This window comes from Homo sapiens, chromosome 7 (genome assembly GCF_000001405.40).
Source record: "Homo sapiens chromosome 7, GRCh38.p14 Primary Assembly".
Lineage (NCBI taxonomy): Eukaryota > Metazoa > Chordata > Mammalia > Primates > Hominidae > Homo > Homo sapiens.
Window position 1 is genome coordinate 66,912,562 of NC_000007.14, and position 12,170 is coordinate 66,924,731.

At 46.5% G+C, this 12,170-nt stretch overlaps 1 protein-coding gene and 1 pseudogene across 2 annotated transcripts in view, besides 1 other annotated feature; both read left to right on the top strand.

The window, feature by feature from the left end:
* RPL31P38 (ribosomal protein L31 pseudogene 38) lies at positions 2,009 to 2,360 on the top strand (annotated as a pseudogene).
* The window catches only part of TMEM248 (transmembrane protein 248), a 37,327-nt gene continuing 33,820 nt past the window's right edge, over positions 8,664 to 12,170 (top strand). Inside the window, exon 1 of one of the 2 annotated variants that reach the window (NM_017994.5) lies at positions 8,664 to 8,900. The gene's annotated coding sequence lies outside the window, so the exon portion shown is untranslated. Of the gene's footprint in view, positions 8,901 to 9,272; positions 9,289 to 12,170 lie in introns of those variants that run through there. The other variant, XM_024446821.2, reaches the window with a different exon arrangement.
* Positions 8,706 to 8,955: a silencer, noted in NCBI's record as "silent region_18218". NCBI's record gives its function as "represses an Ori minimal core promoter by ATAC-STARR-seq in GM12878 lymphoblastoid cells {active_cell/tissue: GM12878}" and the evidence as "EXISTENCE:reporter gene assay evidence [ECO:0000049][PMID:35858748]".

Below are 12,170 nucleotides of genomic sequence, written 5' to 3' on the forward strand. Positions count from 1 at the left end.
GGCTATTTGTTCCTGAATATATTTATTTTTTAAAAAATTTTTAATATATATTTTTTGAGACAGAGTCGCACTCTGTCACCTCAGCTCGAGTGCAGTGGCATGATCTTGGCTCACTGCAACCTCTGCCTCCTGGGTTCAAGTGATTCTCATGCCTCAGTCTTCTGAGTAGCTGGGATTACAGGCGTGTACCACCATGCTCACCTAACTTCTGTATTTTGTTAGAGATAGGGTTCCACCATGTTGGCCAGGCTGGTCTTAAACTCCTGACCTCAGGTGATCTTCCCGCTTTGGCCTCCCAAAGTGCTGGGATTACAGGCATGAGCCACAATACATGGCCGATGTTTGTTTGTTTATCCATTTATTTGAGACCGGCTCTGTCACCCAGGTTGGAGTGCAGTGGCATGATCTCGGCTCACTGCAACCATCGTCTCCTGGGTTCAAGCGATTATCTTGCCTCAGCCTCCCAAGTAGCTGAGATTACAGGTGCATGCCACCACACCTGGCTAATTTTTTGTATTTTTAGTAGAGACAGGGTTTCACCATGTTGGCCAGGCTGGTTTCGAACTCCTGACCTCAAGTTATCTGCCTGCCTTGGCCTCCCAAAGTGCTGGGATTACAGGCATGAGCCGCTGCACCTCGCCAATGTTTATTTATTTATTTTTTAGAGACAGGGCCTCCCTCTGTTGCCCAGGCTGGAGTGCAATGAGGCAGTCATGGCTCACTGCAGCCTCAACCTCCTGCTTGCCTCAAGTGGGATCCTCCTGCCTCAGCCTCCTGAGTAGCTAGGACCACAGACATGTGCTACCACGCCTGGCTAAGTTTTTTTATTTCCTTAATTCTCTTATTTTCTTCAAGATGGGGTCCCGCTCTGTTGCCCAGGCTTGTCTCAAACTCCTAGCCTCAAACGATCCTCTCATCTCAGCCTCCCAAGTTGTTGGGACTACAGGCATGAGTCATCATGCCTAGCAAGCAGCTATAGGCTTTTGCTAGAGAATCAGCTGCCATGAGTGTGGGTGGCCAACACTTCTCATGTTATTTTAGTGGTGGGATCATATTCTAATAGAATACGTTGGGCTACAATTTTCTGCAGACCTAAGAAGCTGTTCCAGCCAATCAAAGATGATCCCTTTTCTGGATGATTTTATATACTGAGGCCGAGTAAGGAATATGAGTCTCCAAAAGCCACATAGGCCCACTAGGCATTTAGCTTCTTGTTTACTCTGAGGGGTGGGGAGAGACATTGTATTCCAAGTTGTCTGCATGTGGTAGGTCATAGGTCACTGAAAGCCATGTAATTCTTCCCGAATTGCAGTCTGTGTGGGTCTTGGATTTTTGCAGTTCATTAACCATCCCTAATCTGATTATGAGCTTAATAAAGTTGTTTTAGGCTGAGTGAGGTGACTCACGCTTGTAATCCCAGCACTTTGGGAGGCTGAGGCGAGAAGATCGCTTGAGCCCAGGAATTTGACACCAGCCTGGGCAACATAGTGAGACTCCATCTCTAAATAAATAAATAAATAAATAAATATGATTGCTTTTAGCTTAACCCATAATCTCCCAGAAAATCATATCATCAATATAGCATACTAGAATAATGTCCAGTTATATTAGCTCTATGTCTCACCTTACCAGCTTGTGACAGTATGCAAGAGAGTTCAAATATCTTTCAAGAGCACATGTATATTGTAGACTATCGCACATAAATGCAAATTATTATTGGCTGTCTAGCAACTGACATGGAGCAAAATTGACTAGCCAGATCAGCTGTGGAATACCAGTCACTTCACTTTCAGTTTGCTGTGTAAGTTGCATAGTCTGCACCATATTCCGGGCCTCTGAGGCTACTTGGGGTTGCTGTTTGGTTGAATCCCCTGTAGTCTACCATGAGTCTCTATGATCTGTCAGCCTCTCACACTGGCCACACCAGGGTGTCATACAGTGAGTTTGTGCATACTATTTGTATATACATTTTATTCGTAATATACCTGCATTAATATTTCATTAATGAGACCCGGCAGAATGGCTCCCGCAAAGAAGGGTGGTGAGAAGAAAAAGGGCCATTCTGCCATCAACGAGGTGGTGACCCGAGAATACACCATCAACATTCACAAGCGCATCCATGAAGTGGGCTTCAAGAAGCGTGCCCCTCGGGCACTCAAAGAAATTCAGAAATATGCCATGAAGGAGATGGGAACTCTAGACATGCACATTGATACCAGGCTCAACAAAGCTGTCTGGGCCAAAGGAATATCCCATACCATGTCTGTGTGTGGTTGTCCAGAAAATAGAATGAGGCTGAAGATTCACCAAATAAGCTCTATACTTTGGTTACCTATGTACCTGTTACTACTTTCAAAAATCTACAATGTGGATGAGAACTAATCGCTGATTGTCAAATACATCATATAAAGTTATAAAATTGTCAAAAAAAAATTCCTTAATTAGGAAACAATTTCTTGTTGCTCTTCAGGTCTTTTTTTTTTTTTTTTTTTTTTTTTTTAAGAGACAGGGTCCCACTCTGTCACTCAGGCTGGAGTGCAGTGGTGCGGTCATGGTTCACTGCAGTCTCAACCTCCCTGGGCTCAGGCAAGTCCTCCCTTTCAGTTCTTTTTTTTTTTTTTTTTTTTGAGACAGAGTCTCACTCTGTCACCCCGGCTGGAGTACAATGTCACAATCTCGGCTCACTGCAACCTCCACCTCCCAGGTTCAAGCAATTCTCCTGCCTCAGCCTCCTGAGTAGCTGGGATTACAGGCATGCACCACCATGCCTGGCTAAGTTTTGTATTTTTAATAGACACGGGGTTTCACCATGTTGGTCAGGCTGGTCTCAGACTCCTGACCTCGTGATCTGCCTGCCTCAGCCTCCCAAAGTGCTGGCATTACAGCCATGAGCCACCGCGCCCAGCCTCACTTCAGCTCTTTAAGTAGCTGGGATTACAGGCGCCTGCCACCACACCCGGCTAATTTTTGTATTTTTTGTAGAGATGGGGTTTTGCCATGTTACCCAGGCTGGTCTTGAACTCCTGGCCTCAAGTGACCCTCCTCGGCCTCCCAAAGCGCGGGATTACATGCGTGAACCACTGTGCCTGGCCCAGGTCTCTGATACAGTTTCAGACGTACTATGTGAATTGGCTTGGGTAATGGTAAAGGCTCTCATTTTTGCATGTCCAATTGGAGAAAGATGTACATGTCATTCCTTATTTCATTTTACTCAGCAGGGAAAGAAGTTTCCATTCAGACATTATTATCCATACCCTTATTAGCATTCAGGTAAAGGAGACACTGTCACAATATACATTATACATTTTTTAAAAATGACACATTCCAACTTTGAACCAGACTTTACCTTTGATCCCTATCACAGTGGCTTCCCCATACAGCCCTGAATCAATTCTGCGGCCCTTAAGCTCATTAGTAGGCCTAGGCAATACTCTCCACTGTGTTCCTGTCAAGGTAAACTTGAAAGAGTTTCTTCTCAATCTTGACCATTTCCCACACATGTTTGTGAAAGGCCTCAGGAACCCCACTGGGAGCTGGATCACGAGGTTCAGTCCTTCTTGTCGATCTTCTTTCACTATTACCACATTGATTCTTTTTTTGATAAGGAATGTCACTTACTTTTTTATTTTATTATTATTATTATTATTATTATTATTATTATTATTATTATTATTATTATTTTAGATGGCGTTTCACTCTATCACCCAGGCTGGAGTGCAGTGGCCTGATCTCGGCTCACTGCAACCTCCACCTCCTGGGTTCAAGCGATTCTCCTGCCTTAGCCTCCCAAGTAGCTGGGATTACAGGCGCCCGCCGCCATGTCTGGCTCATTTTTGAATTTGTAGTAGAGATAGGGTTTCACCATGTTGGCCAGGCTGGTCTCGAACTCTTGACCTCAAGTGATCCTCCGGCCTCAGCTTCCCAAATTGCTGAGATTACAGGCATGAGCCACCATGCTCTGCCTAATTTTTTAATTTTGAAACCATCTCAATGTTAAATAAAAATTTGCAAGTATGGAACAAGGGACTACTGACTTAATAGTAAAAGTGGGGGATGGATGCGATGGCTCACACCTGTAATCCTAGCACTTTGGGAGGCTGAGGTGGGAGGATTGCTTGAGCCTGGGAGTTTGAGACCAGCCTGGGCAATGGACAGTTTCTACAAAGCATAAAATAAAGAGATTAGCTGGAAGTGGTAGCACGCATCTGTAGTCCCAGCTACTTGGGAGGCTGAGACAGGAGGATTGCTTGAACCCGACAGGTTGAGGCTGCACTGAGCTATGATTGTGCCACTGCACTCCAACCTGGGCAACAGAACAAGACCCTGTCTCAAAATGAATAAATAAAAAAACCCAAACAAACATGGGTATTTTGGCATTCAATGCTGTAGGTTCATTGGAAGAATTTTCTTTCTGAAACTTCTCTAAGCCTCAGAACTGTATATGCTAAGGAGTTTGAGGAGACTTCACGGTGGGAACCCCAGATTCCTAGAAAATTATCTCAAAGTTTTGTAGGCTCTTTGTCAATTTCCTTCTTTTTCATGCCATTTAAAAATTAACTGTCTAAGGATTTCCACATGATTAGAGCCTATATTTTTATCCCTTTTCTTGTTTTGGTTTTATTTCTTTTGTAAAGCCTTAACCTTAAAAAAAAGTTTGTTTAGATCTAATTAACATACATACAATTAACTCAATTAAAAGTGTACACTTCAGTGGTTTTTAGTTTAATCACAGAATTGTGCAACCATCATCATAATTTTTTTTTTCTTGAGACAGAGTCTTGCTCTGTCGCCCAGGCTGGAGTGCAATGGCACGATCTTGGCTCACTGCAATATCCGCCTCCCAGGTTCAAGTGATTCTCGTGCCTCAGTCTCTCGAGTAACTGGGATTACAGGCAGGCACCACAACGCCTGGCTATTTTTTGTATTTTTAACACAGATGGAGTTTCACCATGTTGGCCAGGCTGGTGTCAAATTCCTGACCTCAAGTGATCCACCAGCCTCAGCCTCGCAAAGTAGTGGGATTACAGGCATGAGCCACTGCGCACTGCCTGTTTTTGAATATTTTCATCACTCCCAAAAGAAACTCCCTGGCTATTACCACCTCCCAATTGCCTCTTACCCACCCTAGGCAACCCAACCACCAATCTGCTTTCTGTTCCATAAATGTGTCTATTCTGGACATTTCATAGACACGCAATCATCCAATACAGGGCCTTTTGTGACTGGCTTCTTTCACTTGGCATAATGTGTTCAACATTCATCTATGCTGTAGTATGCATTATTTCTTCATTCCTTTTCATGGCTGAATACCATTCTGCTTGTGAATTTGCTACATTTTGTTTTTCCATTAATCAGTTGATGAACATTTGAGTTGCTTCCACTTTTTGGCTATTATGATGCTGCTATAAACACTCCTGTACAACTTTTTGTTTGGAATTTTTGTTTGCAATTCTCTTGGATCTCCAGGAGTGGAATTGTGAGGTCAAATGGTAACTTTTATTTTTTTTGGCGACAAGGTCTGGCTCTGTCGCCCAGGCTGAAGTGCAGTGGCGTGATCTCAGCTCACTGCAACCTCTGCTTCCTGGGTTCAAGCCACTCATCTCAGCCTCCCAAGTAGCTGGGATTACAGGCACCGGCCACCAAACCCGGTTAATTTTTTGTATTTTTAGTAGAGACGGGGTTTCGCCATGTTGGCAAGGCTGGTCTCAAACTCCTGACCTCAAGTGATCCACCCACCTTGGGCTCCCAAAGTGCTGGGATTAAAGGCGTGAGCCACCACATGTGGCCAGTAACTTTTTATTTTTTTAAATAAAGCCATATGTCTTAGAACTTGTTCATTTATTTATGAGATGGGGTTTGCTATGTTTTCCAGAATGGTTTTTTTTTTTTTTTTTTTTAGACAGTCTCACTCTGTTGCCCAGGCTGGAGGGCAGTGGCGCAATCTCAGCTCACTGCAACCTCTGCCTCCCAGGTTCAAGTGATTCTCCTGCCTCAGCCTCCTGAGTAGCTGGGATTACAGGTGCCCACCACCATGCCCAGCTAATTTTTTTATTTTTATTTTTTAGTAGAGACAGGGTTTTACCATGTTGGCCAGGCTGGTCTTGAACTCCTGGGCTCAAGCGATCCTCCTGCCTCAGCCTCCCACTGTTGGGACTACAGGCGTGAGCCAACACACCTGGCTTCAAATGATAACTCTATGTTAAACTTTTTGAGAAATTGCCAGATTGTTGTTTAAAAGTGGCTGCACCATGTAATCTTTTTTTAAAAAAAGAATTTTACAATCCAGCTGGACATGGTAGCTCACACGTATAATCCCAGCTCTTTGGGAAGCTGAGTAAGGAGGATTGCTTAAGGCCAGAAGCTCAAAACCAGCTTGGGCAACACAGTGAGACCTTGTCTCTATTTAAAAAGGTTTCTTTTTTTTTTTTTTTTTTTTTACTGGACTCGGGCTCACACCTGTAATCCCAACAGTTTGGGAGGCCAAGGTGGGCAGATCACTTGAGGCCAGGAGTTCGTGACCAGCCTGACCAACATGGCAAAACACCTTCTCTACTAAAAATACAAAAATTAGCGGGGCGTGGTGGCATGCGCCTGTAATCCCAGCTACTCAGGAGGCTGAGGCAGGAGAATCGCTTGAACCCAGGAGGCAGAGGTTGCAGTGAGCCAAGATCGTGCCACTGCACTCCAGCCTGGGCGACAGAGCGAGACTCCATCTCAAAACAAAAACAAAAATTTTTTTTGAAATCCCATACAAGGCAGCTAGGATGAAAGGTTTGAGGTTGCCTTTTTTACATTCTCCTACGGTCTCAATCACTAAGTCATATATGGTGCCATTGGTGGTGGGGCTCCTTTAATTACATTATCAGTCCTAGCCTGGTAAGGGACATCTCATTAGGAAGTTTGGTTCCATCATTATATACACAATTCAATACTGCCTGCACTTGCAGATAATGTCACACCCATTACAACAAGGAAGATAATTCAAATGGTGCAAGATAACAAAAGAGGGCAAGAATCATGGAAATAAGAGGGTATTCAGTGAAGGAACTGAGCCATTGTGTTGAACATTACAGGCTTCACCTGATAAACTTTTGTTAAAGATGGCTGGGTGTGGTGGCTCATGCCTGTAATCCCAGCACTTTGGGAGGTGGAAGTGAGCGGATCACTTGAGCCCAGGAGTTTGAGACCAGCCTGAGCAATTTGGGGGAAACCCCATTTCTGTGAAAAATATGAAAATTAGCTGGGCACGATGGTGCACATCTGTGGTCCCAGCTACTCAGGAGGCTGAGACAGGAGGATCACTTCAGCTTGGGAGGCCGAGTCTGCAGTGAGCCATGATCATGCGACTGCACTCCAGCTTGGGTGACAGAGCAAGACCTTGTCTCAAAAGCAAGAACAACAAAACTTTATTACCTTTAAAGCACCCTGTACTCCTCCCCCATCCCATTCCCCTAACACTTAACATGAAGTTTATACATCTTTTTCTCATGCTTCATGTCAGTTCAAACAATTATGTATGCATCTCTAAACAATATGTTATGAACTTGCCTGTTTTGAATTTTACATAATGGAAATATGTAGCAGTGTACCATTTTGTGATTTGGTCCCTGCCAATATAGTCTGCAATTGACTACCATAATTGTGTGAGCTGTATTAAATAATTTTCACTGGTCTTTTGTACCCGATTAAACACGAAGATGGGCCAGGCGTGGCAGCTCACACCTGTAATCCCAGATCCTCCCGAGGTGGGAGGATCACTTGGGTCCAGTAGTTCGAGACCAGCTTGAGTAACATAGGGAGACCCTGTCTCTACAAAAACAAACCAAACCATGAATATATCAAAGTTGGTTTTTACATTTGACTGTATGGACATCTGCTTTTTCTCCCCAATTTTTAGTGAGTCATACTGCTGCTAAAAACATTGGTGTTGCTATGAGCATTATTTTGTCTACTTGTGCATAGGTGCAACTGTTTCTCCAGGGTAATATATTCTCAAGAGAGGATGTGTATATCTTTAAGTGTACTGCATAATGCCAAATTACTTTGCAAAGTGATTGTACAAAATTATACTTTAAAAATTTTCATTTTCATTTTATTTTATTTATAAATAGAGTCAGAGACTCCCTATGTTACCCAGGCTGGTCTGGAACTCCAGGACTCAAGCGATCCTCCTGCCTTGGCCTCCCAAAGTGCTGAGATTACAGGCCTGAGCCACCGCGCCTGGTCCAAAATTACATGTTTATCAGCAGTGATTAATATACAAGCACATCAACAGACACACGCATAGCACACACATGAGCATGCACACGTGTGCGCACTCCCTACACATCTACGCATGCACACACCCATACCATCACACACCACACACGCGCACACAGATGCACATACATGCACTCACTGCACACACCGTTGTACACGATGCACACTACAAGCCACATACACGCACTACGCACACACGCACACGCACAACACCAGACCGGCACACAGACCCATAAACGTCCATCACGCACTCCACGCACGTCCGCATGCACGCTACCCGTCCCGGAAGCGTGGTCTCCGCCGCCTGCCTCTGACGAAGCTTGTCCCGGCCGCGCCACCGTCGGACGCCCGGGGTCGGAGGTCACGGCGGCGTTGGAGGTGGCGTGGTTTTTTTTTTTTTTTTCACCCGGAAACCGCGGTTGCCGGAGCCCGAACTGAGGCGGCGGCGGGAGCCCGGTTGGCGTCTGGTCTTCGCGTCGGCCCCGCGGAGCCAGACGCTGCCCCCGGCGCGGGGAGAAGATGGTGCCTAGCGGCCTCGGGCCCGCCACGCGCCGCCACGAGTGAGCCCAGCGCGACCGCGGGCGTCCGCCGAGCAGCTGGCCCGGCTGGGCCCGGGGCGCGCAGCTGCCCGCCGGGGCGGGGTGAGCCGGGGCTGGAGGGCGGGCTGGGGTCGGGCCCAGTCGGGGCTGCCCGCGGGGCCGGGAGCGGGGAGCGTGCTGGTCGGGAGCGGCTCCTCCGCCGGCTTTTTTCACCGCTTCTCAGGGTGCAGACCCCGCCCCAACTGCTGGCGGGGGTCGCCCAGCATCGGCCGACCTCGGCCTGGTCCCCCCACACTGGGGTTTGCCCACTCGCGTCCCCCGAGCCAGGGTTCCCTGCCGGCCTTGGAGATGGCGGGACTTCCCACGTCTGGAGCCGAGGCCTGGATAATTCGGATTTGGCACGGGAAACATCTTGGTCGTTTGCCATTTTTCGGCTTTGGGGAGTGTTTGCGTTTCTTCTCCGTTTGGCAGTGAAACACATCTCAGAAAGGTGGGAGGGAGAGACTCACGTACGTCCACAAAGTTAAATGGCATAGTGGTGTTCCCTGTGTCAAGCTTGGTAAATATCCGGAATGGGGTGGATTCTTTCTTCATGTTTTTAATAAAATGAGGAGTGATCGCAAGGTAATCTAGAGGCATGTAGTTTCAGTTCCCTTGATGGGGACCATCAGAAATAAAACCAGGCTTGTTGTGCTGTTTTGAGTCGTTTGAACGCCGTACCCATCGGACAGCTGGTGAGGAGGCCTTTGTGGAAGAATCTGATGTCTGAGTTTAGTTCTCAACTAGCAGGTGACAGCCCTCACTGGCTGATGAATGGTGAGCTTCTCTGAAGCCTGCTTTGTAAAGATTGTGGCTTCCGCCTGAACTGCTTCTTTCCTGCCTCAAAGGTGAGCCGCTACGGGAGGGAATGGGAAGAAAAACTCCGAGACTGCTGATGAATATGTGATAAAGTGGTTTGTCTCGATAGCACCATCAGCTTGGGTCAGCTTAGGGTCTCAGCATGTGTATCTCATTTGTAGATGAGTGTTCCATCAGCGCTTGACCGATAAGGGTGTCCATCTACTTCCTCTTTTCATCTAGGGATTCTGACAGGAAATAGACCTGTCGCGCACCTAAGGTATACTTAGGTGTGCATTGACCCTAAGTGCATTTACTCTCTAGGATTAAGGATTTGGAGTTTCAACTTGTAGTGAAGATTCTGGGAGAATTCCTGTGGCCTGAATCAGGTGGACTGGAATCACTGCTAGCACCGGAGTCTCAATGCTAAAATCACCAAAGGCTAGTTAACTGGCACCTTCTCCGTTTAGGCTCTAGCTGCATCTGTGGCAAGGAGGAAAGGTAGATTATATATATATATGTTTTTGAGACAGAGTCTCACTCTTGTCGCCCAGGCTGGAGTGCAGTGGTGCGATCTCTGCTCACTGCAACCTCTGCCTCCCAGGTCCAAGCAATCCTCCTGCCTCAGCCTCCCTAGTAGCTGGGATTACAGGTGCCCGCCACCATGCCCAGCTAATTTTTGTATTTTTAGTAGAGACAAGGTTTCACCATGTTGGCCAGGCTGGTCTTGAACTCCTGACCTCAGGTGATCCATCCTCCTCGGCCTCCCAAAGTTCTGGAATTATAGGCGTGAACCACCCGCACCTGGCATAAGTGCGAATATATTAATAGTTTCTGCCTGTAAGGAATGTACTTAGAGGAAGCAATAGGCTAGAAAATGTGGCAGGACTGAATTGCCATAGTGGTATACCAACTGTTCAGGATTTTGTTATGGTTAGGATCAGAAACTAACTTTTTTTTTTTTCTTGAGGCGGAGTCTTGCTCTGTTGCCTAGGCTGGAGTGCAGTGGCGCGAAGTTAGCTCACTGCAACCTCTGCCTCTCAGGTTCAAGCGATTTTTCTGCCTCAGCTGCCTGAGTAGCTGGGATTACAGTTGCCTGCCACCACGCCTGGCTAATTTTTGTATTTTTGGTAGAGACGAGGTTTCATGTTGTTGGCCAGGCCTTGAACTCCTGACCTCAGGTGATCTGCCCACCTTGGCCTCCCAAAGTGCTGGAAGTATAGGTGTGAGCCACCTTGCTCAGCCCGAAACTCGTGAAGTAAACTTTGAGGTGGACCTAGAAAGATCAAGAGGATTTGGGCCATTCAGAATTAGCTGGGAAATGAAAAAACTAGGGCCAGTTGGTGGACAAGCACCCAGGCTAGGTAGCTGGACAATCAGTGCCTAGAAATATTGGCAGAGGCAGCTAGTTAAGGGTTAAATGCTTTTCTAAGAAAGATAAGCATAAGCTACCCAGTCTAGTTTCTCGTAGATTTCTGGGTTTTTTTGTTTTTGTTTTCTTTGAGATGGAGTCTTGCTCTGTTGCCCAGGTTGGAGTGCAGTGACGCAGTCGGCAACCTCTGCCTTCTGGGTTCAAGCGATTCCTCAGCCTCCTGAGTAGCTGGGACTACAGGTGCATGCCGCCACACCCAGCTAATTTGTGTATTTTTAATGGAGACAGGGTTTCACCATGTTGGCCAGGCTGGTCTCAAACCCTTGACGTCAAGTGATCCGCCTGCCTCAGCCTCCCAATGTGCTGGGATTACAGGCGTGAGCCACCAGGCCTGGCCTTTGGTTTCTAAAGAATTGTTTTCATTTAATGAGTTTGTCTTGTTCTGTAAGAGGCCGTTGGCATAAAACAATGCTTAACTTATTTTATTAAGGACAATGAAAAAGATGCTGATTGTCATTCCTGTCTGGTATTGACAATCAGGAAATTAAATTTGATGTCTGTGAGTTGTTTCAGTGCCTGTGTTCAGTTTGCAGGAGCACAGCTCTAGTCTGGTCTCTGCAGCTCTGGCTACAGCCAAAGGATAAATGGCAAGCCCTTCAGTCCTCTCCAGAGGGTTTTTAGTGAAATCTGGTCCATGTCACAGAGATGGTGTGTTTCCCTTGCCCAGTACTGAAGAACCTTTGAAGCCATTCACACAGGATGCCATGTAATTGCTCTAGATGATATGACTGATCTCAGGACCTCACTGGCCTCAGCCTTAGCCCTTATTTTATTTTATTTTATATATATTTTTTGAGACAGAGTCTTGCTCTGTCGTCCAGGCTAGAGTACAGTGGCGCGATCTCAGCTCACTGCAACCTCCGCCTTCCGGGTTCAAGCGATTCTCCTGCCTCAGCCTCTTGAGTAGCTGGGATTACAGATGCCCGCCACCATGCCTGGCTAATTTTTCTATTTTTAGTAGAGACAGGGTTTCATCATGTTGGTCAGGCTGGTCTCAAACTCCTGACCTCAGGTGGTCCGCCCACTGCGGCCTCCCAAAGTGCTGGGATTACAGGCATGAGCCACCACACCTGGCCTTATTTTTATTTATTTATTTATTTGAG